At 39.1% G+C, this 25,062-nt stretch overlaps 1 protein-coding gene across 28 annotated transcripts in view, besides 3 other annotated features; it reads left to right on the top strand.

Annotated features, from left to right (window-relative positions):
* BNC2 (basonuclin zinc finger protein 2) overlaps positions 1-25,062 on the top strand; it is a 461,168-nt gene that overhangs the window by 100,771 nt on the left and 335,335 nt on the right. The window lies entirely within an intron of this gene.
* Positions 215-509: an enhancer, noted in NCBI's record as "tiled region #7975; HepG2 Activating non-DNase unmatched - State 24:Quies". NCBI's record gives its function as "activates a minimal TATA promoter and a strong SV40 promoter by Sharpr-MPRA in HepG2 cells {active_cell/tissue: HepG2}" and the evidence as "EXISTENCE:reporter gene assay evidence [ECO:0000049][PMID:27701403]".
* Positions 215-1,113: a biological region, named in NCBI's record as "Sharpr-MPRA regulatory region 7975".
* Positions 368-1,113: an enhancer, noted in NCBI's record as "OCT4-NANOG-H3K27ac-H3K4me1 hESC enhancer chr9:16768785-16769530 (GRCh37/hg19 assembly coordinates)". NCBI's record gives its function as "activates a minimal SCP1, AML or CMV promoter by ChIP-STARR-seq in primed H9 embryonic stem cells {active_cell/tissue: H9 hESC(primed)}" and the evidence as "EXISTENCE:reporter gene assay evidence [ECO:0000049][PMID:30033119]".

The following is a 25,062-nucleotide window of genomic DNA, read 5'->3' as shown; positions in this document are numbered from 1 at the left end:
TAGAGCCTGAAAATGCCACAGGTTGGTCTATACTTCACAGCATCAGGGTTTTCTCACGTTTGCAAGCTTCAATGACAAGCTCCACCCACATGAATCTTGTAAGTGGTGGCAGAGCTTGCTGTTATCCAGTGCTTATTGTGTGCCAGGCATTCTGCTAGATGCTTTACATCCATCATCATTTGCTCTTTACATTAAGCTGGCGACTTGGAGACTACTTACCTCATTTTGTAGATGAGGAAGCGGTGTGACTAGTAAGGGGCAGGCAGCACTGGGATTTTTAGATCCAAGCCTGGTCTCATTCCCAGGTCCGTGGCCTTTGACATCACATCCTTTAAGCTGCATGGCCTCCCTGAGCTCTCCTTTCCGTTGGCTCTCATGCCTGTGCAATGATTCCGTCCCTGATTTGGGGTCCTGTCACGTGACCCCCATCACTTATTAACCAGGTGACACTGTTAGTCTTTTCACTGACTGAGTGGCATTTTCCCTGTCAGTAAAATGGGAGAGAATGATCCTTCTTCTTTAACCTGTTGTTGTGAGGAGTAAATGAGATAATGTCTCTGTTATTTATTAGACACCTATTTTATGCTAGGCACTGTGCTAGAACTTCCAGTACAGCAGTGACACGAACAGACGTGGTCCCTGCTCATGAAGCCTGCAGACCTGTAGGCATGGCAAGACACTTAAACAAAAAGCGCACTTAGTTTTGTGCTATATGTCTGAATCATATATAGTTGTTAAGGCCCAGGAACTTTGACTTCAAGTTTAAGCTGCAGCCTCAGCAGGCACTATGCTTTTCCAGGGTCCTATTTGTAATTCTTACAGAAGACCCGTTGCTTTCTTTTATGTTGCCTAATCCTCTTCCATTGTTCCCCATTTCAGGTCTCTGGAAGTCAGAAACCTGGAAGTTCCGCCCCCTACCTACTTCTCAGCTTCTTCTTCCCCTCTTCTATTCTCCTGCCACTGTCTGCGCCATTTGTCTGTTTCTTAAGGTTTCCTGCTCTGCTTTCTGTCTTTCTCTCGTTTCTGAACCCTGTTTAAATTCAACGCTTGATTTAATAAGATCTTAGTCTAGTCTCCATTATTTCAAGTCATATATCGCTTTTGATAAATTGTCTTTTTAAGCACTTATCCTAATTTTGCATTTGTTTATGTAGGCAGTTTTTCTGTTTCTCCAATTAGACTAAAAGTTCTTTGAGGGTAGGGACCACTTCTCTGTCTCTCTGGTACCTATCCCAGCTGCTTGTCTGTTTTCAAATACTTACTGAGTTAGGTTGGATTCCACCCCCCTCATTCTCTTCTCTGGATCAGCTCTTTCTCTTTCATCTCTTTGCCTAGCATTTTCATTTATTCTACTAACATGTGCATTTGGTCTATCAAATTGAACATATCCCAAACTAAACACATCTCCCCAACTCTGCATTTTTTCCTTATTTCCAATTCTTGTTAAATGTCTCTGTTGCCATTATCCAAATCCCTTTTGCCTCAGTTTCTTGTAACACTCCCGTTTTCTCACCATCTTCTGAATAGGAAGATTGATTTAAGGAAAGATTCCTTGGCATCTCTCATAACTTCCCTACCTTCACTGCCACTACTTGGTGGCTCTTACTGACTTCTGTGTCTGAATTGCATACACTGGCCTGTCATGGTGGTTCACGCCTGTAATCCTAGCACTTTGGGACGCTGAGGTGGGTGGATCACGTGAGGTCAGGAGTTTAAGACCAGCCTAGCCAACATTGTGAAACCCCGACTTTACTAAAAATACAAAAATTAGCCAGGCGTGGTGGTGGGTGCCTATAATCCCAGCTACTCGAGAGACTGAGGCAGAAGAATCGCTTGAACCCAGGAGGTGGAGGTTGCAGTGAGCCAAGATTGTGCCACTTCACTCCAGCCTGGGTGAAAGAACAAAACTTCATCTAAAAAAAAAAAAAAAAAAATTGCATAACCTGCCTCTTCACTTCTTGCCCTGATAGATTTGAGCATGTCGGATCTTAAAAGTCTTTGATAGCTACTGAAGTATTCACTAGTGAAATAATGTCATGTTTTGGATTTTCTTTAAAATTATCCAGTGGAGGAGAGAGCTAAAGGGGATTTTGGGAGAGGTGAAACAAGACTGACCATGTGCTGATAATTGTTGAAGTTAGGTAGTGAGACTCACAGAGGGGCTATTATACTGTTTACGTTTGTATAATACATGTTTGAAAACTTCAATAATAAAAATTTGAAATAAAACACAGCAAATTTTGGCTTTACACTGTCTATAGATAATATATGAACCTCTTGGCAGAGCATACAACCCTCTCATACTTTTTCCCCAGTGCCTCATTTGGCTTCTAATCTCCCTCAACTCTGTATACAGGCTGACTCTACTCTGAAGCCATTTCTGTCCTCAGCATTGATCTCCGGAAAGGCTCAGCTCTACAAAAAAAATCCTCCCTGGCCTAATTTACTAGCCTGATTTGAGTTTTCTCTCCCATATCCCTTAGCATGTACCGCCCTTAGGGGCCTTTCACATTGTATGTAATTGTTTCCTTGTGTCTCTCTGAGCACTGACCCCCAGCCAGTTTTATCCCAGTACTGAGGACTGCCCAAACTGAGAAGGTTCTCCCCAGCCTGCCAGTATTTCAGTTTAATACTCATTGCATGCCTACTGAGTGTTGGGCACTTGATGAATACTTGAGATTTAATTGACTGGTTGCTTCTGGTCTATAATATGGAGAGAGTCTACCATCTGGCTTTCTGGGCTGACGTTGGCTGTACATTTCATCCCTCTCCCTCACTCTTACGATCTTCCTAGATTCTCCTTTGGGAATGAAGTATATAATGTTCAGAGATGCTTAGGTAGACTATGCCATGTAAGGTAGCCAGATAGTGATTGGCATGTCAAAACCCTTTGTCCAGTCTCTTCTTAATGGTGACTTTAAAAATTGTTAGGCTCTGTATTTACACTTGTTAAGTCCCTCTTTCCTCTCTTTGGTTCATCTTTACTCCATAAAACTGGGTAGGGGAGTTGTTTTTTTGTGTGGGGAGGGCAACCTCCAGCCAGCTTTTTGTGAGAGCCCACTCTAAAGCCCCTACACTAGACTCTTCAGGAAAAGCAAAGTAACCTTCCCAAACCATTTAATTCATTTCACTTATTTCTGGCCATTTGATGATTCCAAACTCCAACAGGACCTGTAGCCCAGAGGTAAAAGTAGAAGATGTTTAAAAGATTTGAGAAATGAACTAATTTTTGTGGTCTGGAGAAGTAAAGACCAAGGTATGAGTTAATCACTGTTTTCAAACACATGAAATTATTTTGCATGGAAGGTAGTACCAGCTGTTAGCCATTTGAGTGAAAATAAACAAAAGGACTTAGATTGCAGCTGGAGGGATTTTAGTTAGATAGAAATTTTTCATTAAGTGGTTCTGGGTGGGAACTGGGTTCCCATCCCAGTAGATTGTTGATTTAGGTCCAGATTGGAGGGCAGTGGGGCAGATTTGAGGAATTTAAGCATCCTGAAAATCAGTCCTCATGATTAAAAAATCAGCAGCTGCGAATGCTCTTCGTGTTCAGAGCTGCAGAATGAGGATTCCCCTCATCCCTCCCACCTTCCCCCAAGTTGAAAGAAATTAACCTCAATTAAAGGAAACAGTGATGGATGGTTGCAGAGATAAGTATGATATATCACACAGGAAAAACTACATTAAAAGCACATTAAAGTTGAGACAGAAAGCACTAAAAGTGAAGAAATTCACAGTTAAGGTTGAAAAGTGATATCGTTTACATCTCTGCTAATATGGAGACCTAACAGGGTACACTTAAGAAATTATGAGTGCCGGGCGCGGTGGCTCACGCCTGTAATCCCAGCACTTTGGGAGGCCAAGGCGGGCGGATCACGAGGTCAGGAGATCGAGAACATCCTGGCTAACACGGTGAAATCCCGTCTCTACTAAAAATACAAAAAAATTAGCCAGGCGTGGTGGCGAGCGCCTGTAGTCCCAGCTACTCCGGAGGCTGAGGCAGGAGAATGGCGTGAACCCGGGAGGCAGAGCTTGCAGTGAGCCGAGATCGTGCCACTGCACTCCAGCCTGGGCGACAGAGCTAGACTCCGTCTCAGAAAAAAAAAAAAAAAAAAAATTACGAGAGTGCCCTGTTGTGCTAAGAAGTAAGTTTTTTGACTTCACATACTAAGCTTAATACACAGTTTCATTGCCCAGCTTTAATTAAGGCATCATTCATGACTGATTATAGCCCATGGAAAAAAACCTGTTACTTTTACCAAAAGAGTTTGGGGTTGGTTTTAAAATTTAGCTTTGGAGGGGACCAGGTGGTGATTCTGTGACTCTGTGCATTTCATTACCTAACATATTTCAGCTTTTCTAAAGTCAAATTATTTCTGCTTTTCTAAAGTCAAATATTTCTATTTAAAAGGCACTAGTTTTGACTAAAATGTTAATAATAACAGATTTAATAATATTGAGTAATATTGTTTCCATCTGTTTAGAAACCAAAATTTAGCTTTTATCCCTTCATTTCAGGGGTGGATTTTTGCTTCTCCAAAATAGATCTTAAATCTTATGTGTATATTTTAAGCAAATTATTATTGCATTTTAGGAGTCTTAGCCAGAATAAAATCTGATTACATTTTCAATTCATAAAATTACATTGTGACCCCAGAAAACATCCTCTAATTGCTTTAGTTTTTACCTAATAAGACTGTCTCTTTGTGTATGTTTACCATATTAGAGACAAAAATCCCTCAAATGGGTCTAGAATACTAAATATTTGTGTACGATAGAGTGTGGATAGTACAAACGTCCGTCCTTAGCTGCTTCATCCCTTGTCTGACTCTAAAGAGTTGTTACTTCTTCCTAAACCAAGAGCCAAGATGGAAGATATAACCTTCCAAAAAATCAGAGTATATGCCACAGCGGGTTTCGTATCCTTACAGAAGATGTTCTCTCTCTCCTTCTTTTTTCTTCCTTCCCTTCTTCCCCATCCCTCCTCCCTCCTTCCCTCCTTCTTTCCCTCCCTCTCATTTATTTTTGGGATAATTTTGAGTTCTTTCATTGACCATAAGCTTATTGTGAAGAACAAATTCAGTTTATCAAATTTAGCTACCAAATCTTAAAATTTGATTTTTAAAGTAGAAAGATAATTGCTTCTTATTAAAAAAAAAACAGACAAATAAGTAAAGTTATGTCAATTTGTATAATTCCACATTAATGAGCTAGTACATGGGTTAAAATGTTATATTAGTAGTTTCAAGAAAGGAAATGTGAGCTATAATTATTATATGTTTTCTATTTTTGTTACATTTAAGGTGAGTCTTGTAAAAGGGCCAATGAAATTGCCTTAAGTAAAATGATTATTAACCAATACAATTTATGGCATATTGACTTGGGTAATATTAATTTGGGTACATGACAGGATATATACTCATGGTCTCTTGTCACAGATTTTTAGGTTGGGTTACTTACCAGATGAATGAGTTTGTGTTTCCACTTAATTTTTTTAAAGTTCAGGAGGCCAACAATTTGACAGATTTGAAAATAAAAATGAAATTGAGGTCACTTTTTTTCTAGTGGCTACTTTGGTATGCCGTGCATAGACTCTGTTTCTTAATGCAGAAAATACAATCTTTATGCCTGTTTGGAGTTTCAAATGTAATATAAATGTCATGTATCATCATAAGTATGCAAACATGTTTTAAAACACAGAATTGTATGGAAGCAATTACTGGCAGTGAGTGAGCTACACACCCCAAGGGTGGGTTGGGGCCAAAAAAATTAAAGTTCCTAAACAGAATTACTTTTGTGTGGGTGGGAAAGAGAGAGCAATGTTAACTTTTATTAGGAACCAATCCCAGCTCTTATTTTAATTCTCGTCACATACTTGGTAACTCAAATAAATAGGTAGTAAAGGGACATTAAGGGACTTTGTGTTAGGATTAGTTTTCCCCCCACTTGCTATAGTCTTCCGGTAGGGAGTGATTAGTGTTCAGCAGGAGGGCCTGGTGGACACCAGTGCATATATAGCTCTGTAGTTTTCAAACACTAGGTGTTGGTTAAAGATGATGTTGCCACCCTTTGTGACATGGTACTTGAGCATTCTTTTGCGGGGTGTGTTGTGTTCATTTTTAGCAGAATGAATGGGATGTAGGAAGGTTAGATTTTATCATTGGAAAGTAACATGCTATGTAGTTTTCTGCCACTCACCACTAGCCTGGAGAAGACCTGAATGATGGGTTCTCCCTCTTGACCCCTTCATGCTGTATGTTTTATTTGTTTCCTAACTTCATATAAAATCACTATCATCTGAAGGTGATGATGGTTTTTTTTTGTTTTTTTGAGACAGGGTCTTGCTCTGTCACTCAGGCTGGAGTGCAGTGGTGTGAACACAGCTCACTGCAGCCTCAACCTCCTGGGCTCAAGTGATCCTTCTGCCTCAGCTTCCCATGTAGCTGGGACCACAGGTGCATGTCACTATGGCCGGCTAAGTTTTTGATTTTTTGTAGAGATGGGGTTTTGTCATGTTTCCCAGGCTGGTCATGAACTCTTGGGCTCAGGCGATACTCCTGTCTTGGCCTCCAAAAATGCTGGGAATATACGTGTGAGCCACCATGCCTGACCCTGAAGGTGATTTTGCATTGTACTATTTTGTGGGGGTATGGACCACAAAAATGGAGGGGAACGGAATTACTCTCTATAAAAATAAATTTATCTTCTGACATTCTCTGGAGCCCTTTGCTAACAAGGTTTAAATGGATCTTTTTTCTAAAGCCCTTATCACCATAACCTCTCAGCTAGAGAGCCGTTTTGGGTTCAACTGCAGGTTGAGCTGAGTGACCATCTAAGCAGCACAGGGACTAGCAGCCCCTTAACTGTGATCAGAACATCACTGTATTGATAAGTGAGTCTTGGTCAAGTCACTTAACCTTTCTTCCTTGATTTTCTATTATGTACACTGGAAATGATAGTATCTATCTGCCTTTGATCTCATAGGGATGCTTCAATCCATTAAAGTCATTAAAGCACTTTAAGTAAGGTATAAGGCACTAGATGCAAGGCCTCTTCATTGTTGTTATCATTACTGTTATTTTATTACAGTGCTGTATACAAAGGGGGCACTTTTTAATGCTAAACAGTCATCTCAGAATATGTTCTGTGGAATCCAGAAGTTGACAGAGGACCTTAAGCGGTCAGGTTATCTTTCTCTTTCTTCTTGAAGCCAGGCTCTGTTCCTCGTTGTCTCTGTCTGTTACTTTGGAGAACAAATAGCAAAACCAGGAACACAAAAATGAAAATAGAAAATTGAGACAAATGGGGTAGCTGTAGTCTACTTCGTGTTATTTCCTGGGAACTGCTGTTGGTGTTGGGTCTCCTAAAGTGGGAAGTTCATTGTGCCTCTCTGGATACTGATCTCCCCTTTCTGTAATGTGCACATCCAGGGGTTTTGAAGTGGATTGTGGGCTTTGATTCATTCCCACTTGCAACTTTCATTTTCTTTGTTTTTTCGAAATACTGTTTTACTAGGAAAGAGAAAAACATTTGGGGGTAGGGTGGGTAAAGATCTCTGGATGTCTTTGGATAGTGTTCAAAGGCATTTTGTACGAGATGATTGTATTTCCTACATCAGCCCCTTCTGGCATTTCATCTCAAATACTTCCTCCCTTGCACCTCATAAAAAATTCCAGAAGGTGAGGTACTTCCATATGGCCTTGGATGGCACCAACTTGATGATGTCCATGAAAAAATAGAGGATCAACGCTCACCTTCCAGAGTGAAGAGTTTGCTTCCTGGAGCATGGGTTCTTTTGATCTCACAAATATCACTATTCTAAAGTAACCTACCCTGTCCTTTATCTTAACATTCTGAAGCTGATGTTGGTGACTCTATTGGTTCTTCTTGGCTAAAAAGTTTTGCTACTTTCCATGTTCATTCTTTTTAATTTTTGGTACTTTGAGTATCATGATAAATTTTACTTCTGTTACCTTATTTGTGGACTGATTACTCTGCTCCACCATTTACATGTAACTTGGTAGCATTTTCAATTTCATCAGCTACAGAGCACTAATTCCTCAAACATGGGCCTTTGTAGTTAGGTGGAACTTAAGACAGTTGAGTGTCATGGTCTGAAATGTAAGTTATTTCTGTTCATCAAAAATATTATTTAAGGGAGCCCTGGAATAATTATGAGTACTGAATAATTAAGCCATAAATAAATATAAATTGGTAAAGACATCCATCATTTATTATTTGGTTTTCCAGCTTCCATAACTAGAATCCTGAACTTACGAGTATGTTGCTTTATAAATTAAATAGAATGGTTTGCTTTTCTGACTCCCTCTCCCCGCAAAAGCATAAGAGTCTAACAATGGATTTTCTGGTATTGATTTGTTTGTTTGAAAAATCTTAGATTATATCATAGTTTTGTATTTTAGAATCAGTTTCTTGAAGAGGAAGAATACAATTATATGAAATTGGGATTGTTGTGGAAAATCAGAGACGTATGTTTGCTATAGGTATAATATTAGTTTTTCAGCATCAAGAGTAAAACAAGTGGAATTACCTCTGAAATTGCAGCTAACTATTGCTACCTCTATACCAGAAATATTTTTTCATCTTTTCATACCACATGTGAAAACTTTGTTGTTGTTGTTGTTTTTTGTTTTGAGACGGTCTTACTCTGTCTGCCAGGCTGGAGTGCAGTGGCACAATCATGGCTCACTGCAACCTTAACCTCCCAGGCTCAAGTGAGCTTCCTGCCTTAGCCTCCCAAGTAGCTGGGACCACAGGCATGTGCCACCACTCCCAGCTAATTTTTGTATTTTTTTTTTTGTAGAGACGGGGCCGCTCTGTGTTTTACAGGCTGGTCTTGAACTCTTGGGCTCAAACAATCCTCCTGCCTTAGCCTCCCAAAGAGCTGGGATTACAGGTGTGAGCCATTGCACCTGGCCCTGAAAATTCTTAAGTGGGGATAAGGGATAACAGAACTTCTTGGTTCATTGTTACCTACTTTTCTTTTTTCTTTCTTTTTTTAAAGAAATGCTGCAGCACTCATTATTTTTTCCCCTGTTTCCCTCTCCTCCCCAAATTTCCTGTCAGCAACTTTGTTTTCTGTTCATTAGAATTCAAACACAATTTAAATTAATTTCCCTTGCCACCTTCTCTGTGGTTAGATACACCTTTGGTGAGTTCACAAATGACTCATTGGACTATGATGATTTTTGTTGATTTCTTACATGGTCCAACTGGGTTATCCTTAGAGATGCCTTAGAACCAGTGGAGGTGTTGGCTGTAGGATTAGATGGACTTAACGCAGATTACTGGGGATCTCCTGGTATTCATATCCCTGTAGTTGCTAACCAGGCTTGGATTTATCCTGGATTGGACCTTTTTTTCACTATCAGGGCCTAAGGAGCCTTTTTAGGCATTTTATCCAACCTCCTCCCAGCCAGGCCCTCATTACATCCTAAGAATAAGATTTTGTCTGGCAGGGTTGAACTTTAAAGGACCATAAACCGTTGTAATATCTAAATTTTTTCACCCCTATTGAAAATGCATGATTTAGACCCAATATGTGGATGCACAAATTATTAAATGACTTAGCTATTTATATTCCACCCAATAGTGTGGGTACATTTTTCTGAGAGTTGCTGAACAGCAGTGGTATTTTGAAAAATACTACTCACCTTGAGGAGGTTACATTGAATTTGTCTTTTTTGGCTTAGTTTTAAAATGAAGCTGATTACTTGGTGGTATACTTAGATGGTCTTTGATAGGACCCTCTCCTGTCCTGCCTTCCCCCATGGAAGTATCATTATAGCTATTTCCTATACATTCTCACTGCAAATAAAATTCAGAAAATACTTAGCTCGTAAGAGTTTCTGTCTCTGGCCCCGCGCGGTGGCTCACGCCTGTAATCCCAGCACTTTGGGAGGCCGAGGTGGGCGGATCACGAGGTCAGGAAATCCAGACCGTCCTGGCTAATGCGGTGAAACCCCGTCTCTACTGAAAATACAAAAAATTAGCCGGGCGTGGTGGCAGGTGCCTGTAGTCCCAGCTACTCGGGAGGCTGAGGCAAGAGAATGGTGTGAACCCGGGAGGCGGAGCAGGCAGTGAGCCGGGATGGTGCCACTACACTCTAGTCAGGGCGACAGAGCGAGACTCTGTGTCAAAAAAAAAAAAAAAATAGTTTATGTCTCCAAAAATTGAGGTATTCTATGATATTTATGTGACTTCTACCTTCAGTTGTGATTGTAGAATGCCTTCACAGATTTAAAATAGATACCAATAAAATGGAATTATATATAAATGGCATGGTTAAGAATGATTGTTCTCTTGATTTGTTTTCAAGCTATGTTTAGTATTCCTTTTTTCTTCCTATGTATTTTGAGGGATTTAACACTGAGTCATATAGATAGTGTTAATTTTCATTTCAGTTTATAAACTTCTATCAAGACAATAAGATTTCAGTGTAAAAAAAAATTAAGGAAAATATATTTGGTGGTTTTCCTCCTCCTGAAATCTTAAAAGTTACCATACTTTCCATTAAAGTCCTCTCTAATATCTATACAGAAAACATACTGTTCTTGAATAAAACAAAATTAATTTGTGGTCCTTGACTTCTGTGGAAAAAGACCCTTATCATAACAAAGTACAAAAATAGTAAAAGCAATTAGTGAATTAAGCCTCAATTCCAATTGCCTCGATTTTTTGTATGAAATCATATCTTTCTTATTATAGAAGTGTGAGATTATAGCCAGCTGTTGGAGTAGTAACTTGTAATCCATTTCTGTACGTTGGTTTTTGGTGTGAACTGAAAATGATTACCATGAAGTTAAGTGTTATAACCTACTTTAAATGAATTAGTTTCCTGGAATTTATTACTGCTAAAAATCAGAACAAATTTCCTTAGGAATCTGTGTTTATAACAAAAACATGAACTTTGACCGTAGAATACTTTTCCCATTCAAATGAAAGATAATTTAAACAATATTTTTAAAAGGTTGATTTAATTTTACATCTGTGAGTATAAATACAACCAGTTGATTCTTCAAAGATTTTTGATTGTGATAATAAGATTGATGGATATATTGTGCCTTAGCCTTATATTAAATTGGCAGATTTTTAAATACCAGATAATTAGAAATGCTATTAATTCTCAGTGTAGAATGCTAACCTAACATTTTTGTATGTCTTGTGCGGTCAATAGAATAATGGCCACCCAAGCATGACCAACTTTTAAGAACTTGTGAATATATATCTTACATAAGAAATGGGACTTTGGGCTGGGCGCTGTGGCTCATGCCCGTAATCTCAGCACCTTGGGAGGCCGAGGTGGACAGATCATGAGGTCAAGAGTTTGAGAGCTGCCTGGCCAATACGGTGAAACCCTGTCTCTACTACAAATACAAAAAGGAGCCGGGTGTGGTGGTGTGCACCTGTAGTCCCAGCTACTTGGGAAGCTGAGGCAGGAGAATCTTGGAGGCAGAGGTTGCAGTGAGTCAAGATGGCACCACTGCACTCCAGCCTGGGCGACAGAGTGAAACTCCATCTAAAAAAAAAGGAAAGACAAGGGACTTTGCAAACGCGGCTAATGTTAAGGACCTTGAGATGAGGGAGATATTCCTGGATTTTCTAGGTGGACCCAGTCTAATCACATGAATCATTAAAAGCTGAGAACTTTTCCCAGCTGTGGTCAGAGAGAGATGACCATGGAAGAATAGTAAGAGAGCTCTAACATTGCTGGCTTTGAAGATGGAGCATCTGGGCCCTAAGCTAAGGAATGCTGGTGGCGGATAGAAGCTGAGAAATACAAGGAAGCAGATTCTGCTTTTGAGTCTCTTAAATGGATGGCAGCCCTGCTGATATCTTGACTTTAGCCCAGTGAGACCTGTCAGGCTTCTGACCAATATAACTGTAAGATAAGAACTGTGTGTTTTAAGCCACTAAATTAGTGGTAATTTTTTAGGGTAGACATAGAAAACTAATATACCTTGCTTTGTGTTTGTAATTTCTTGAATAAAATTATCACCAAACTCTCTAAATACTGTAAAGGAACAAAAAGCTATTTGCTTGCATATAAAATTGTAATTTATAAGACTTTATTATAATGGATTGTTACAATTAATTTTGCTTTTAAATAACAGAACGAACTTGATGCGACCTTGCAAGTATGCTTTTTTTTTTTCTTTTTAAAATCAAGGGTTGCTTTGCTACCATTGTACCAGGAATATAGTAGGCAGTCAATAATTGTTGGAAACAGTAAAATTACATAGTCAACATTTTCATTAGCTATTGTTAATGTTGTTGTTAACAATGGAGTTTTGAGAAAGGGGCTTAAGGAAATGTAGGAATGTAAGTGTGTTAGGTCTTAAGAAGTATCTCCAAACTTTTGACAGATATTTCTCACATTTCGATTTCTGTCATGTTCGACAGTTGTCAAGAAATTGCTCAAGGGTTTATTGGACTCAAGCGCCAGGGCATGAGTGAGTTTATCTCTGTCTTGATAAGCTGGACACTGATGGTAGCCAGAAAGTAGTGGTGATGGGGAGTTCTGATTCTTCAGATAATCGTTTCCTATTTAGTTAGAAAATGACAGGATTCAAGATGTTGTACCATATAGCAAGAGATTTAAGATCACTGTAAATACGTATAATAAATTAGGTAAATCTACATGCTTTTAAATAGCTTTTAAGCTGCTTGTCTACTTTCATGGCTAGTATGTTGGAACATTCAATCAGAAGTATTTATTGAGTCTGTCTGTACTAGGCACTGGGGATATAGGTTCAAAGAGCCCTGCCATCATGGTGCTTATTGACCCATAAGAAAGAAATTAAGTAATTACTAGTGTTGGAAAGTAGTACAGGGCACTTTAGGAATAGGTAGTTACCTTCTTGGGTCTATTTTTTTTTTTTTTTTTTTGAGACAGAGTCTCGCTGTGTTGCCCAGGCTGGAGTGCATTGGTGTGATCTTGGCTCACTGCAAGCTCCACCTCCCGGGTTCAGGCCATTCTCCTGCCTCAGCCTCCCGAGTAGCTGGGACTACAGGCACCTGCCACCATGCCCGGTTAATTTTTTTTGTATTTTTAGTAGAGACAGAGTTTCACTGTGTTAGCCAGGATATTTTTGATCTCCTGACCTTGTGATTTCCCCGCCTCAGCCTCCCAAAGTGCTGGGATTATAGGCGTGAGCCCCTGTGCCCAGCCTAGGTCTAGTTTAAGAAACCATTTCTGAAGGCAAGGGGAGAGGTTCAGGAATGAGGAAAGAAAAAAGCTTTAAAGCAAAGAAAGAATGTCTGGAGCAGAGAAAATCTGAGATCACTGTGAGAAGGTGATAAGATGGTTAGGTTGGCAGAGATCAAATCTTACAGGGTCCTCTTAAATGATTTTGGAACCTCAGCTGCAATTTGAAGAATGTATTGGAAGGGAGAAAAAGGTGACTCCAAGAAGCTGAGGTAGGAGGCTATTTCAGCTGTCAAAATATGAGAGTCTGTACCAGAGTAATAGAGAGAGGAATGGAGGATAGATCCAGAGACAGTTAGGAGATAAACTAGAAAGATTTGGAGGTTGACTGCATGTGGGGTGTCAGAGAGGCAGGGAGAGGTAGTTGGGGAAATAAAATAATCATGCCAACAAAAAAGACATATTATCCACAGCGAAGAGAGAGAGAATATAATTTATTATTGAGTAGGCATAAAAAGATTTTGCAGGTATGTAAGATATCTCAAAAGTGGCTATGAAGTTGGGGACAAAATCACAGTTAATACAGAACAGCAGAAGAAAGTATATTCTTAATAACTTCTCATCCCTTTGAGAGACAAAGAAAGGGTTGTCCCTTTTGATAGTCTTCTGTACATCTCATGAGAGACACCTGAGTTAATCCCAGAGGGTTGTTTTTCACATATCTAGCGTTGGTTTGGCACATGACTTAGACGTATCTCTACATTGTAAAAACTGGAGACTGAACTTAATCCTTAGAGAGATTTATCTCTGTTCCAAAGGTTAGAGTAAGGACTCAGATTCACAATGTCTCCAAGGAAACACTCCTAAGAAAAGCGGAGAAGGATAAAATGGTCTTTTATAAATGGAGAAAATCATTTTCCAAGCCCTCAATAGCAGATGGTGCCATTTACTGAGGTAGGCAGCGCTGGAGGAGGAGCAGATTTGAGGAGTAATAAGACAGACACTTGGGAAGATGTCAAGTTTGAAGTTTCTATTAGACACTGCCCCGGAAATGACAGGAGTGCATTCATAGTGGAGAAGGGAGATCTAGGCTAAATATAGACATTTACTAGCCGTCAACAGGTAGTACTGAACCCTGGGAATGTACTGGGTAGCTTAGGGACATGGAACGGTGGGATGGGGAAGAAAGGATGGGGGGGTCATCTCTTTTGTCATATAATTGCATAGTTAGCATAGTGATATTACCCTAATGGTTAAGCGCAGCAGTGGTCGACACTTTCATCTTTTGACTACTTTTCCTGGATAATGTAGCTAAAAGTTTACATCACCTACTCTTGTAATCTAGACTCCTGCCCTTTTCTGTTAATAGGGTATGTTCTGAGGTGGTGTCCCCCCACAGCCTCCTTTCCTTTTGTTCACTGATTATGCATTCTCTTCAGTCCCCTGGGTCTCCTGTGGACTGTTTTCCTGCACCCAGTGTGCTTCTGCCTCCCTCCATTTGAGGCCATGTGTCTTCTCATGCTCTCTTGCTCTCTCTTTTTGAACTGTTGCTTATTTGGAAATATTTTCAGTTATTTCCACACATAACTTCTAGATGTTTATACCTTTTTACAGAGTCAGGTATCCTTTTTCTGGTGTATTTATTTGGTCTGGAATGTGTCAGGTTTTGAGGCCACAGCACAGATGCTTTGCTCTCCCATAAGTGTGGGCAATATGTGGAGAATGGCTTTGTGTGGATTGGAAGTGGAGGTGAAGGGGGAAGTATCTTGTTGGGAAGAAATAGCTGACTGTGGCCCTCAAGTGCTTCTTGGGTGGATGCATTTAATAATGATCTTAGTGAATCAGTTGCTGCATATTGAAAACAAGATGGCTGGGGCCGGGCGCGGTGGCTCACACCTCTAATCCCAGCACTTTGGGAGGCTGAGGCAGGCAGATCACCTGAGGTGAGGAGTTCGAGAGCAGCCTGGCCAAGATGGTGAAACCCCATCTCTACTGAAATTACAAATATTAGCTGGGCATGGTGGTGGGTGGCTATAATCCCAGCTACTCAGGAGGCTGAGGCAGGAGAATCGCTTGAACCTGGGAGGTGGAGCTTGTAGTGAGTCGAGATTGTGCCACTGCACTACAGCCTGAGCAACAGAGCGAGACTCTGTCTCAAGAAAAAAGAAAAAAAAATGACTATTTGAATCTATAACTGAACCTATAATTGGAAAATGAAATATGGGGTGGGGGAAAGACCCTCCCATTTGTATTTACAAGAACATTTAGATCTGGATTAAAATAGCAGTGACCTTTGCTCTTTATTATATCGGACAGGTCAGTTTGCAAGTTTGTTGGGTTGGGGCAACTTTTCTGAATCAGACTCATGTACTGATAAATTCTGCACTTGGTGGAGGAGGCAAAGGTTCTTATCCAGAGACACTTTAGGGAACTCTGGGGTTTGGCAAGTAGGAAAATAGGTAGAAATGGCGCTCAGGGACATTTCATTTTGTGATGACTGACTGTGAGCTGAAGATAAATACATAAAAAGGTAGGCAGTGATGCCTTGGACAAAGATTTTACCAACTGGCAGTGTGAAATATTCTGTAGACCACCAGTTCTAATGAGTTTATCTTAGACAGTTCTGAGAGTGTCGGTTAATAATTTACCCTTTCTGAGAGACAGAGGCAGCAATTACAGGCTATAAGCGAGCACTCTGAGGCTTCTTGCTTTGCTGGAGCCCATCTGGGCTGGAGCCATGGACCCCATTGGTTGTGACACAAGTACCAAGTGTCTGCACTTTGGCATATGGAGGCTTCACAGCGCTCAGTAAGGCATAGACATTCAGTGTGATTCACTTCAAGTGATATCTAAAGTATGGATTACTGTAACTACCCATCTGCTCCACATCAAAAAGAATAGAACTCTGTATAGATATTTTTAAAGTTTATTTTGAAGTAGGATGGTGTTCTATATGGAAGAGAGGGTGGTGGTGGAAAAATAGATTATTTTGAAGAAATATTTATGAAGCTTCAGAGAAGGGACATACTGGGCTTGCTGATTGATACCTGGAATATGCTTTTATTGTCTAACAAAATATTGGATCCAGCTGTACATGTAAGACTTACCCGTTGGCAGTGTGATTGATACTGTTAAAAACTTGAGTCTGTTTACCCCTTGCCATACAATTTGTTTTGATGCAATAGTGAACACAACTCCACTGTAGATTTAAGCACTATTTATGTGAATTTTATTTCCCTGTTTAGTCACTGAATCACATTGTAGTGTTGGCATGATAAGTTTTGTAATTTGCTTTCCCGTGTGAAGAGTGCTTTTCTTGAACCAAATGTTGACTTCTGCATACTTTTAAAAGTTAGGCTTTATGTCATTACAAAGATTTACAGTTATTTAATAATGATTTATTGCAGTAATTTATTCTGCCAGCTGTGGCACATTTTCACTGGAATTTGTAAATCAAATTTATATAGAAATTTACCAGGACATGCATTTCAGGATTTAATAAAATATACTCTAAAATCTTTTTGAAGAATGTAGTTTTATGCTTACACATTTGGGATTAAGCTTTACCTTAACAGCCATTGTTACTATTCAAACTGCTGTGTTTGTCCCACAGTCATTGAAAAGAAGAGTCAATGAGATCTGTTAAAATACACAGTTTCAGGTCATCTACTTTGCTTCCAGACCTTTAGTGTCATGTTATATTTGACCTGGGATATTCATATGATGTTGAGGGACATGGAAACATCCTGACATTAGGCTCTGTGCAGTTCTGTAAGTTTTAATCATATTAAACTGTGCATCCAGAATCATAACTGAGAGTGAATGTAGTGCACTGTATTCATTTAGAAACCCTAAGTGTCAGATTTTCTCTCCCTTTTTCAAAACTTACTGGCTAATAACCATGTGGAATACATTTAGCATTGGCTGTGCCAGCTCACACTCCTGTAGTTTCTTTGGAATGCACAAATACGGCAAGTTATTGTATTTTCTTTCTTATTTTAAAAAAGATTGTTGCGATTTTGTTTACTTGATGATATATATGTTTCTAGAGAGAGAATCTAGAATAAAAAGAAAACTATACAGATTATTTTGTAACTTGTGTGTCATTAAAAAAATCTAGCAATTTGAGAGGCTGTATTTAAAATGTGTGATTGCCAAGTAATTTGTAAGAATGACTTGTTCTCTAAGACTGCGTAAGAATTTTACTTCTAAGATTAAACTACTAATTCACAGCTTCAGTCAGCTGGTTATTTTGTGTACAACAGCATGAAACGTCTCATTTGACTTAACTACTGCCGCCCAAACACATTGACTTCATTGATCAGTTGTTTTAATATTGTGAAGATACAGTCTGAATGTGCCCTGAAGCTAAACTTTCAGGTTATAGTTAATTGTATTTAAAGCAGTAGGCTTTGGACTATCTAAAAAGGAAGTGAAAGCATTTGCAAATATTGTAGCCTTTAATTTTTCATAGTAGTTTGTTTATTATGTTCAAGCACTGGTAAAACATAACTTAACAAAACAAAATTTTGAGCCAAAACAGCTTATCATCTGAAATGTAAACCCAGTTTATCTTCGGATCTCTTATTTTTTAAAAGACGTAATTTCTTAAAAGAAATTATTAGAACAGTCTTCAGCTAGGAGTTCAAGTTACCGTACATAAAAAACTGGATCTTTATGTTATTAAGATGAAAATATTTTTGTTTTTAGAGTCTTGCTCTGTTGTCCAGGCTGGAGTGCAGTGGCGTGATCTGGGCTCACTGCAACCTCTGCCTCCCGGATTCAAGCAATTCTTTTGCCTCAGCCTCCCGAGTAGCTGAGATTACAGGCGCCCGCCACCATGCCCAACTAATTTTTGTATTTTAGTAGAGATGGGGTTTCACCATGTTGGCCAGGCTGGTCTTGAACTCCTGACCTCAAGTGATAAAACTGCCTCGGCCTCCAAAGTGCTGAGATTACAGGCGTGAGCCACTGCGCCTGGCTGAAAATAATTGTTAAAAATCTTTAATTTTATATATACATACATATATATATATATACACACATACATATATATATACACATACATACATATATATATACACACATACATATATACATACATATATATATACACATATATATATTTGTGCTGGGGACAGCAGCTTTATATTTCTAGAACAATAATAACTTTTTATATGATTTATGACTCTTCACAGTGTTTGATATTTACTTTTATTTTGAGAAAAATTAATCTGCAATGCAAGGGAAGTCGAGAGATAGGGAGATTTCTTGAAAGGGAGCAAAGATAAGACTTTTTCTTGAGAGAGTTCATTGCTGATCTCTTAGATGTGATACTGTGTTTTCCTTGAAAGCATGTAACATTTGTGTGCTGAATGGATCATGGAGAACGCATGAGCTCCTTAGTTTACATTTACTCATCCAGTACTCCAGTGCTCACAATATACTAGGGTTTTTTTTTTTTTAAACCATTTTCAATGCAATTTAAGAGAATATTTTAGAATTAAGTTTTCACAGTTTTGTAGTTTTTTTTATTTCACAGTTTTGTAGTTTTTTTTTAGACTTCAGTGATGTTTTAAATGTTTTCCTTGTGCTTACCTGGAAAAGCTTTTTAAATGATACCAATTTGGAATGTTAAAAAAGGTATAATTCTGGGATGACAGATATATTTAATCTTGTGGGTGAATTTAGACTGATGGTTGGTGAATGCTTTGAGAGTCTGAGGTGGGCCAGAGAAAAAAGACACAACTCTGTACTTGGTTAGCAATGCCTGCCATTGCCGCTGAAGTACCAGTCAGTGGAAGCATCTCCTGAATTCATCTCCCTAGCCCAGAAACTTCTGTGTTACTGTAATCATTCATTTATTCATCTTGTGTTCATTCATTCACCCAAATTTTTCAACATTTCTGAATATGTGGCAGCATGCCAAGCATGGTAGGAATATAGTGGTGAAGCAGACATGAATTTGCTTTCAAGCCTTGATGAGTGGGAGGCTTAATCGTTCATTAACAAAGAGTTGAAAACAGGGTGGCAGCGGTTTTGGCAAGAATGTGTTACGGTCTAATTCAGAGATACTGAACTTGGGACCTAAGTAAGAAGGATATTCTGTTGTAGAAATCTGGCAGATTCTAGAGTTTGTTTGAGAGATCTCTTGCATTTGCTCATTGGGTATGCCAGGCATTCTGGAGGGATGCCCATTCGCATCTGACAGGATAGATGATCTACTGGTCAAATGTATAGATGATGTCTAACATCTCCGTAATGCAAGGCAAAAGTAGGTTCTGTAAGGGGAATGATATGACATTAGTTTAGAGATGAGTGGTAAAGCCATATGCTGTTGGGTGTGATGCCAGTCAGTAGTAGATGGTAGAGAATTGAAGATAGAGCATAATTTTAGTGTTCAGCCATTTTTAATTTCAGAAAATATTTTTAGGTAGAAATATTTTAACTGTATAGTACATGTATTGGTACAAATATAAGTATCAAATTATATTTCTACCTTCACCATTTTTTCCAACTAGAAATCCTATAATTATCTTTTGCTTCTTTTCCCTTAGAGCTAAAATTATTTTAGGTATCAGTTCTCGTAGATTCTTTAAAACAGAAAACAAAACTCTAAATTGTTAATTTATTTCTCACAATTACCTAGTTTAGGTCCTCATGCTCTGTGATGGGCTGTCCATTTCCTATTAGTGTCTACTATAGTTTCAAGTGTAAATGCATGCAGTGTAAATGAATATAAAACTGATAAAATTCCTCGTTCTTAGAGCTTATGTTCTAGGGGAATATTTGAATACAAACAAATCCCCTAATTTAATACTTCTGTTTTCTGCTGCATTCACCATTCCTAGATGAAACATAACTTCTGTTACTTAACTACTGTGTTCAGAAATTTGAAGTCCAAATTTCAAGGCCTCTACAGTTTGCCTGTATATACGCTTTCTAATCTCATGTCTTATTAAATAATATCTTTCATCTATCCAAGGAACAGTGCATCTTTACATCCTTACACTATTTTTTTTTTTTTTTTAAAGCACAGGATCTCTCTCTCTTGCCTAGGCTGGAGAGCAGTGGCACAATCATGGCTCACTGCAGCCTCAGCCTTCCAGGCTCAAGCAATCTTCCCACCTCAGCCTCCTGAGTAGTAGGGACCACAGGCATGTGCCACCACACCTGGGTAATTTTTAATTTTTTTGTAGCGATGGGATCTCACTCTGTTACCCAGGCTGATCTCAAACAACCGGGCTCAAGCTGTTGACTTTCCCGCCCTGGTCTCCCAGGGTGCTGGGATTATTATACTTTTATTCGTGCTTCCCCCACCCATTTGGAATGTTCTCTTCTCTTTGCCTTTTGATATTCTCCTTAGTCTAAGAATCTTGGCTCAAATTGCTCTTTTAACCAAATAACGTATGTTCCTGGATATATTATAACTAACAACACGTGTACTGATTTGTAGACTTCTACTTTTGTAAGAGAGTGCTTATTTACATCTTTTATTTAACTTGTACATTTACATATAGTCTCTCCAGCTATACTGTAAATGATGTGAAATCAGAGGACTTTGTTTTAAATATTCATACTGGGCTAATATGAGCACAGTTGAAAAGCAGGCAGGAACTGTGCTTTGAGCATCCTGGAGAATGAAACAAAGCTTACAAGCTTACATACTGAATTTCTAAGATAGTCATTCCCCCATATATTGCTTAGAACCTGAAAATTCCAAAACTCTCTTTGGTTTTCAGGGCCATCATTATATATTAATTTTTTTATTTTGTTAATTTCATATATATATATATATATATATATATAGTATAAAAAGTGAAAAAAAGTACAGAAGCTTACACAGAGAAAACAAATGGTCCATTGCTTTTTTTTTTTTTTTTTTTTTTTTGAGACGGTTTCGCTCTGTTGCCCAGGCTGGAGTGCAGTGGCCTGATCTTGGCTCACTGCAATCTCCATCTCCTGGGTCCTAGCAATTCTCTTGCCTCAGCCTCCTGAGTAGCTGGGACTACAGGCGGCTGCCACCATGCCTGGCTAATTTTTGTATTTTTAGTGGAGATGGGGTTTCACCGTGTTGGCCAGTCTGATCTCGAACTCTTGACCTCAAGTGGTCCACCCACCTTGGCCTCCCACAGTGCTGGGATACAGGCATGAGCCACTGCACCCGGGCAAATTCTCCTTTTTTTCTGTTTACTGGATTCCTTCTTTTTAAATGTTTAAGACAATGTCTCACTCTGTCTCCCAGGCTGGAGTGCAGTGGCACGCTCAGGACTCACTGTAGCCTCGACCACCCCGGGCTCAGGTGACCCTCCCACCTCAGCCTCTGGAGTAGCTGGGACCATTGGCACGTACCACCATGCCCAACTAATTTTTGTATTTTTTGTAGAGATGGGTTTTGCCATATTGCCCAGGCTGGTCTTGAACTCCTAGGCTCAAACAGTCTTCCTGCCTCGGCCTCCCAAAGTGCTGGGATTACAAGCGTGAGCCATCACACCCAGACTTATTTGCCAGATCCTGAAAGGTATTTCTAGCAATAGCTTAGCCCCATTTTAGAAGTATTTGTTACCTCCTCAGTTTTTCTTTTCTACTCTCTCTTTCTCCTGTTTTTCTCTTTCTCCATAAATGATAGTACACAGTATTTACTGTTCTGCATCTTGCCTTTTACTCATGTTTTGTTTGGAGATGTTGTTTATCTGTATTTACAGTTTTTTTTTCCATTCTTCTTAATGACTACTTAATATTCCATTGGAAAGATTCATAGTAAAATAAAATAGCAAATTCTAGAACTGGGAAGAAGGCAAATGTTAGGCAAACAATTAATAATTATAACTAACTATGAAAGGATAAAATGGTAGATAGTTGAATTTAAGAAAACAGAGCCTTCCCAGAGCTCCTCTTTCCCATGCCAAGTCAAGTAGGAAGCCCTAAGCACTTAGAAGCCTAAAGATATTACCAGATATTAATTGATGTTTAATTATCAAGAAAGATATGTCCTGCTTAAAACAGGGTAATAGGCAGCACCTTTTCAGAAAATTCTTGTCTAAAATGGTAGAAACCTGGAGAGGCAATGCTGGATATTTGGATGAGCACATATTTTGAAATCAGACCAACTTGGTCTTGAATTCCCAGTTTGACCCTTAATATAAGACTTCGGCCAAGTGACTAAACTCTCTTAGCTTCGATTTCCTTATTGGTAAAATGAGAATAATAATACCTATCTCAGAGGACTTGTGAAGAATGAATGAAAAAATCTTTTATGTTTTGCATAGTACCTGGCACACAACAGGTGCTCAATAAATATAAAGTTCCATCTCCTTGACTCTGTGCCCTTCCAGAATGATTAATTTCCTAAGAGCTCTGGATGCTGAGATTTTACTGTTAATTGTATCTTTTATAAAACTTGCAATGTCTTGTACATAGTAAGAAGTCCACATTTATGTGTAGATTTATTCTGTAATTCTTAAGAGTCTGGCTTGGTTTTCTTGAAACTTTTCATGAAATTTCTCAAATCTCTAGAAGCGGGTACAAGGACAATTAATTATTTATGTACCCTGTGAAGATGCCTAACTTGGCCAAATGTCAACATCTCAAGCAGTGGTTGTGCTTGTAAAATTTTAATAATCTGTACTTTCGTAGTATACTTTGTATTTCTTTGCGTGGTGTGATATTTTGTATATTTTAAAAATGGGAAGAATTTCAGATGTTTTAATATCTGTTAGGTGGAAAGTATAATTCTTTTTCAATTACATGGATTAATTTTTTTTTTTTTTGAGATGGAGTCTTGCTCTGTCACCCAGGCTGGAGTGCAGTGGTGCAATCTCTGCTCACTGCAAGCTCTGCCTCCAGAGTTTACTTCATTCTCCTGCCTCAGCCTCCCAAGTAGCTGGGATTACAGGCACCCGCCACCACGCCCGGCTAATTTTTTGTATTTTTAGTAGAGACAGGTTTCATCATGTTAATCCAGGATGGTCTCGATCTCCTGACCTCATGATCCGCCTGCCTCGGCCTCCAAAAGTGCTGGGATTGCAGGCCTGAGCCACACTGCCCCTGGCCGAATTTTAAGTTTAGGCCAGGCGCGGTTGTTCACGCCTGCAATCCCAGCACTTTGGGAGGCTGAGGAGGGCAGATCATTTGAGGCCAAGAGTTCGAGACCAGTCTGCCAACATGGTGTGAAACCCTGTCTCTACTAAAAATACAAAAATTAGCCGGGCGTGGTGGCACATGGGTGTAATCCCAGCAACTCTGGAGGCTGAGGCTCGAGAATCCCTTGAACCCAGGAGGCAGAGGTTGCAGTTAGCAGAGATTGGACCATGGCACTCCAGCCTTGGTGACAGAGCAAGACCCTGTCTCAAAAAGCAAACAAACAAAAAACAAAAACGAGTTTAATAAGATTCATAGGGTTAAATGTGGGGGGCTCTGACACTGATTGCAGTCAGGTTCAACATGGCCAATATGAAGTCAACTGGCTTGTAAGTTTCCTAAAAATTTAATAGTCAGTTCTCACAAGTCGCAAAGAGTAAATCTGGTATACTACTAGATTATCAACCTCCTGGGTGACTGCTTTGAGCTCCGGTGTAAACATAGTTAGGAGAACCAATTCGTGAAAAATGGTCCAGGCTTTGCTACCAGTTTATTCTTTGACTTTGCCTCAGTTTCCTTGATTGTATAGTAAAGCAATGGGATTAGATCTGTTTCCTAAGATTTTTTGGTATGACCTTACAATTCTGTGTGTGTAAGGCTGCAGAAGCCAAGGAGCCCAGGCTTTATACGACTTGTCTCATATTCACAATATCAATATTTTTTTCTTTTCAAAAAAGGTCTCCCCTAGTTAAAGCAAATATATTTGAGAACCACTGTTACTGAAAAAATAGCTGTCTCAAAGCCCATGTCTGTACTTCCAGCAGGGCCCCTGATACAGTCACATGTAATGGGTTTACTTATTCCTTATATATATACTACAGTAAACAATCTAGGGTTTAGGAAAACGGAAAAGTAATGGAATGCAATTCAGTGTTATTTTTATCAGAGACAGGCATAATAGAAAACATTTTGGTACTTGATACTTTATTTAAATATGACTTTCATTTATGTGTGAATGAACTCTCCATATATGCTAATGGATGCTTGTAGGCCAGGCATCATGAACTTAGATGGCAATAGTGGCCAGGCAAGTAAAGGAATTGCGAGAACCTGGTAGGGTATAAAATGAAAGTACGTGCTGCAGAGAGTAGTTTCTACTCCTCCCTTGCTGATTGTTGTCAGGAAGGAACATACGTTTCTGTTACCATATCTTTAATTCTTTAACGCCTCACCTTTTGCCTCTCCCTGCCCATTCCCTCAGCAGCTGAATATCCATATTTTAATTTAAAATTTCTTGTGTTTTACATGTTGGTCATTAATTAAACATATGCACACTCATACACACTCACTTAGGAGGAGCCAAGCAAAACACATCTGAAGCCAAACTTGGCCTGTGGTCTTCTACTTTGAAATGTCTTTTCACACACGTACCTACGCAGCAACTGATACTTTAGTACTTGTATGCTAGGCGCTTGGCTACACCTTTTGCACTAATAAAAATGTTTAACCTTCACAACAATTCTGTGAACAGGTACTTTTATTTCCACTTCAGAGATGAACTTTGGATAAGTAACTTGCCAAGATCACACAATTAGTAAAAGGTTCTGCAGTTATTCAAACCCAAGAAATTGCGCTGCAGAACTCTGACACTTAAGCACTTGGCAAAATTGATTTCCTGGATATGTTTCTTCTATATATGCTCTAAGCACACACACAAAATGTAAATAACACTATAAAGGATGAAGAGAAATTGTTTACTATTAGTTCATTCATGTACATATGTTTGCATATGTGGGCATGATGTGATAAAGCAC

The sequence above is a fragment of the Homo sapiens genome, chromosome 9 (assembly GCF_000001405.40).
Source record: "Homo sapiens chromosome 9, GRCh38.p14 Primary Assembly".
NCBI lineage: Eukaryota > Metazoa > Chordata > Mammalia > Primates > Hominidae > Homo > Homo sapiens.
The sequence above is the reverse complement of the archived record's forward strand: the minus strand, read 5'-3'. Positions and strand labels throughout refer to the sequence as shown.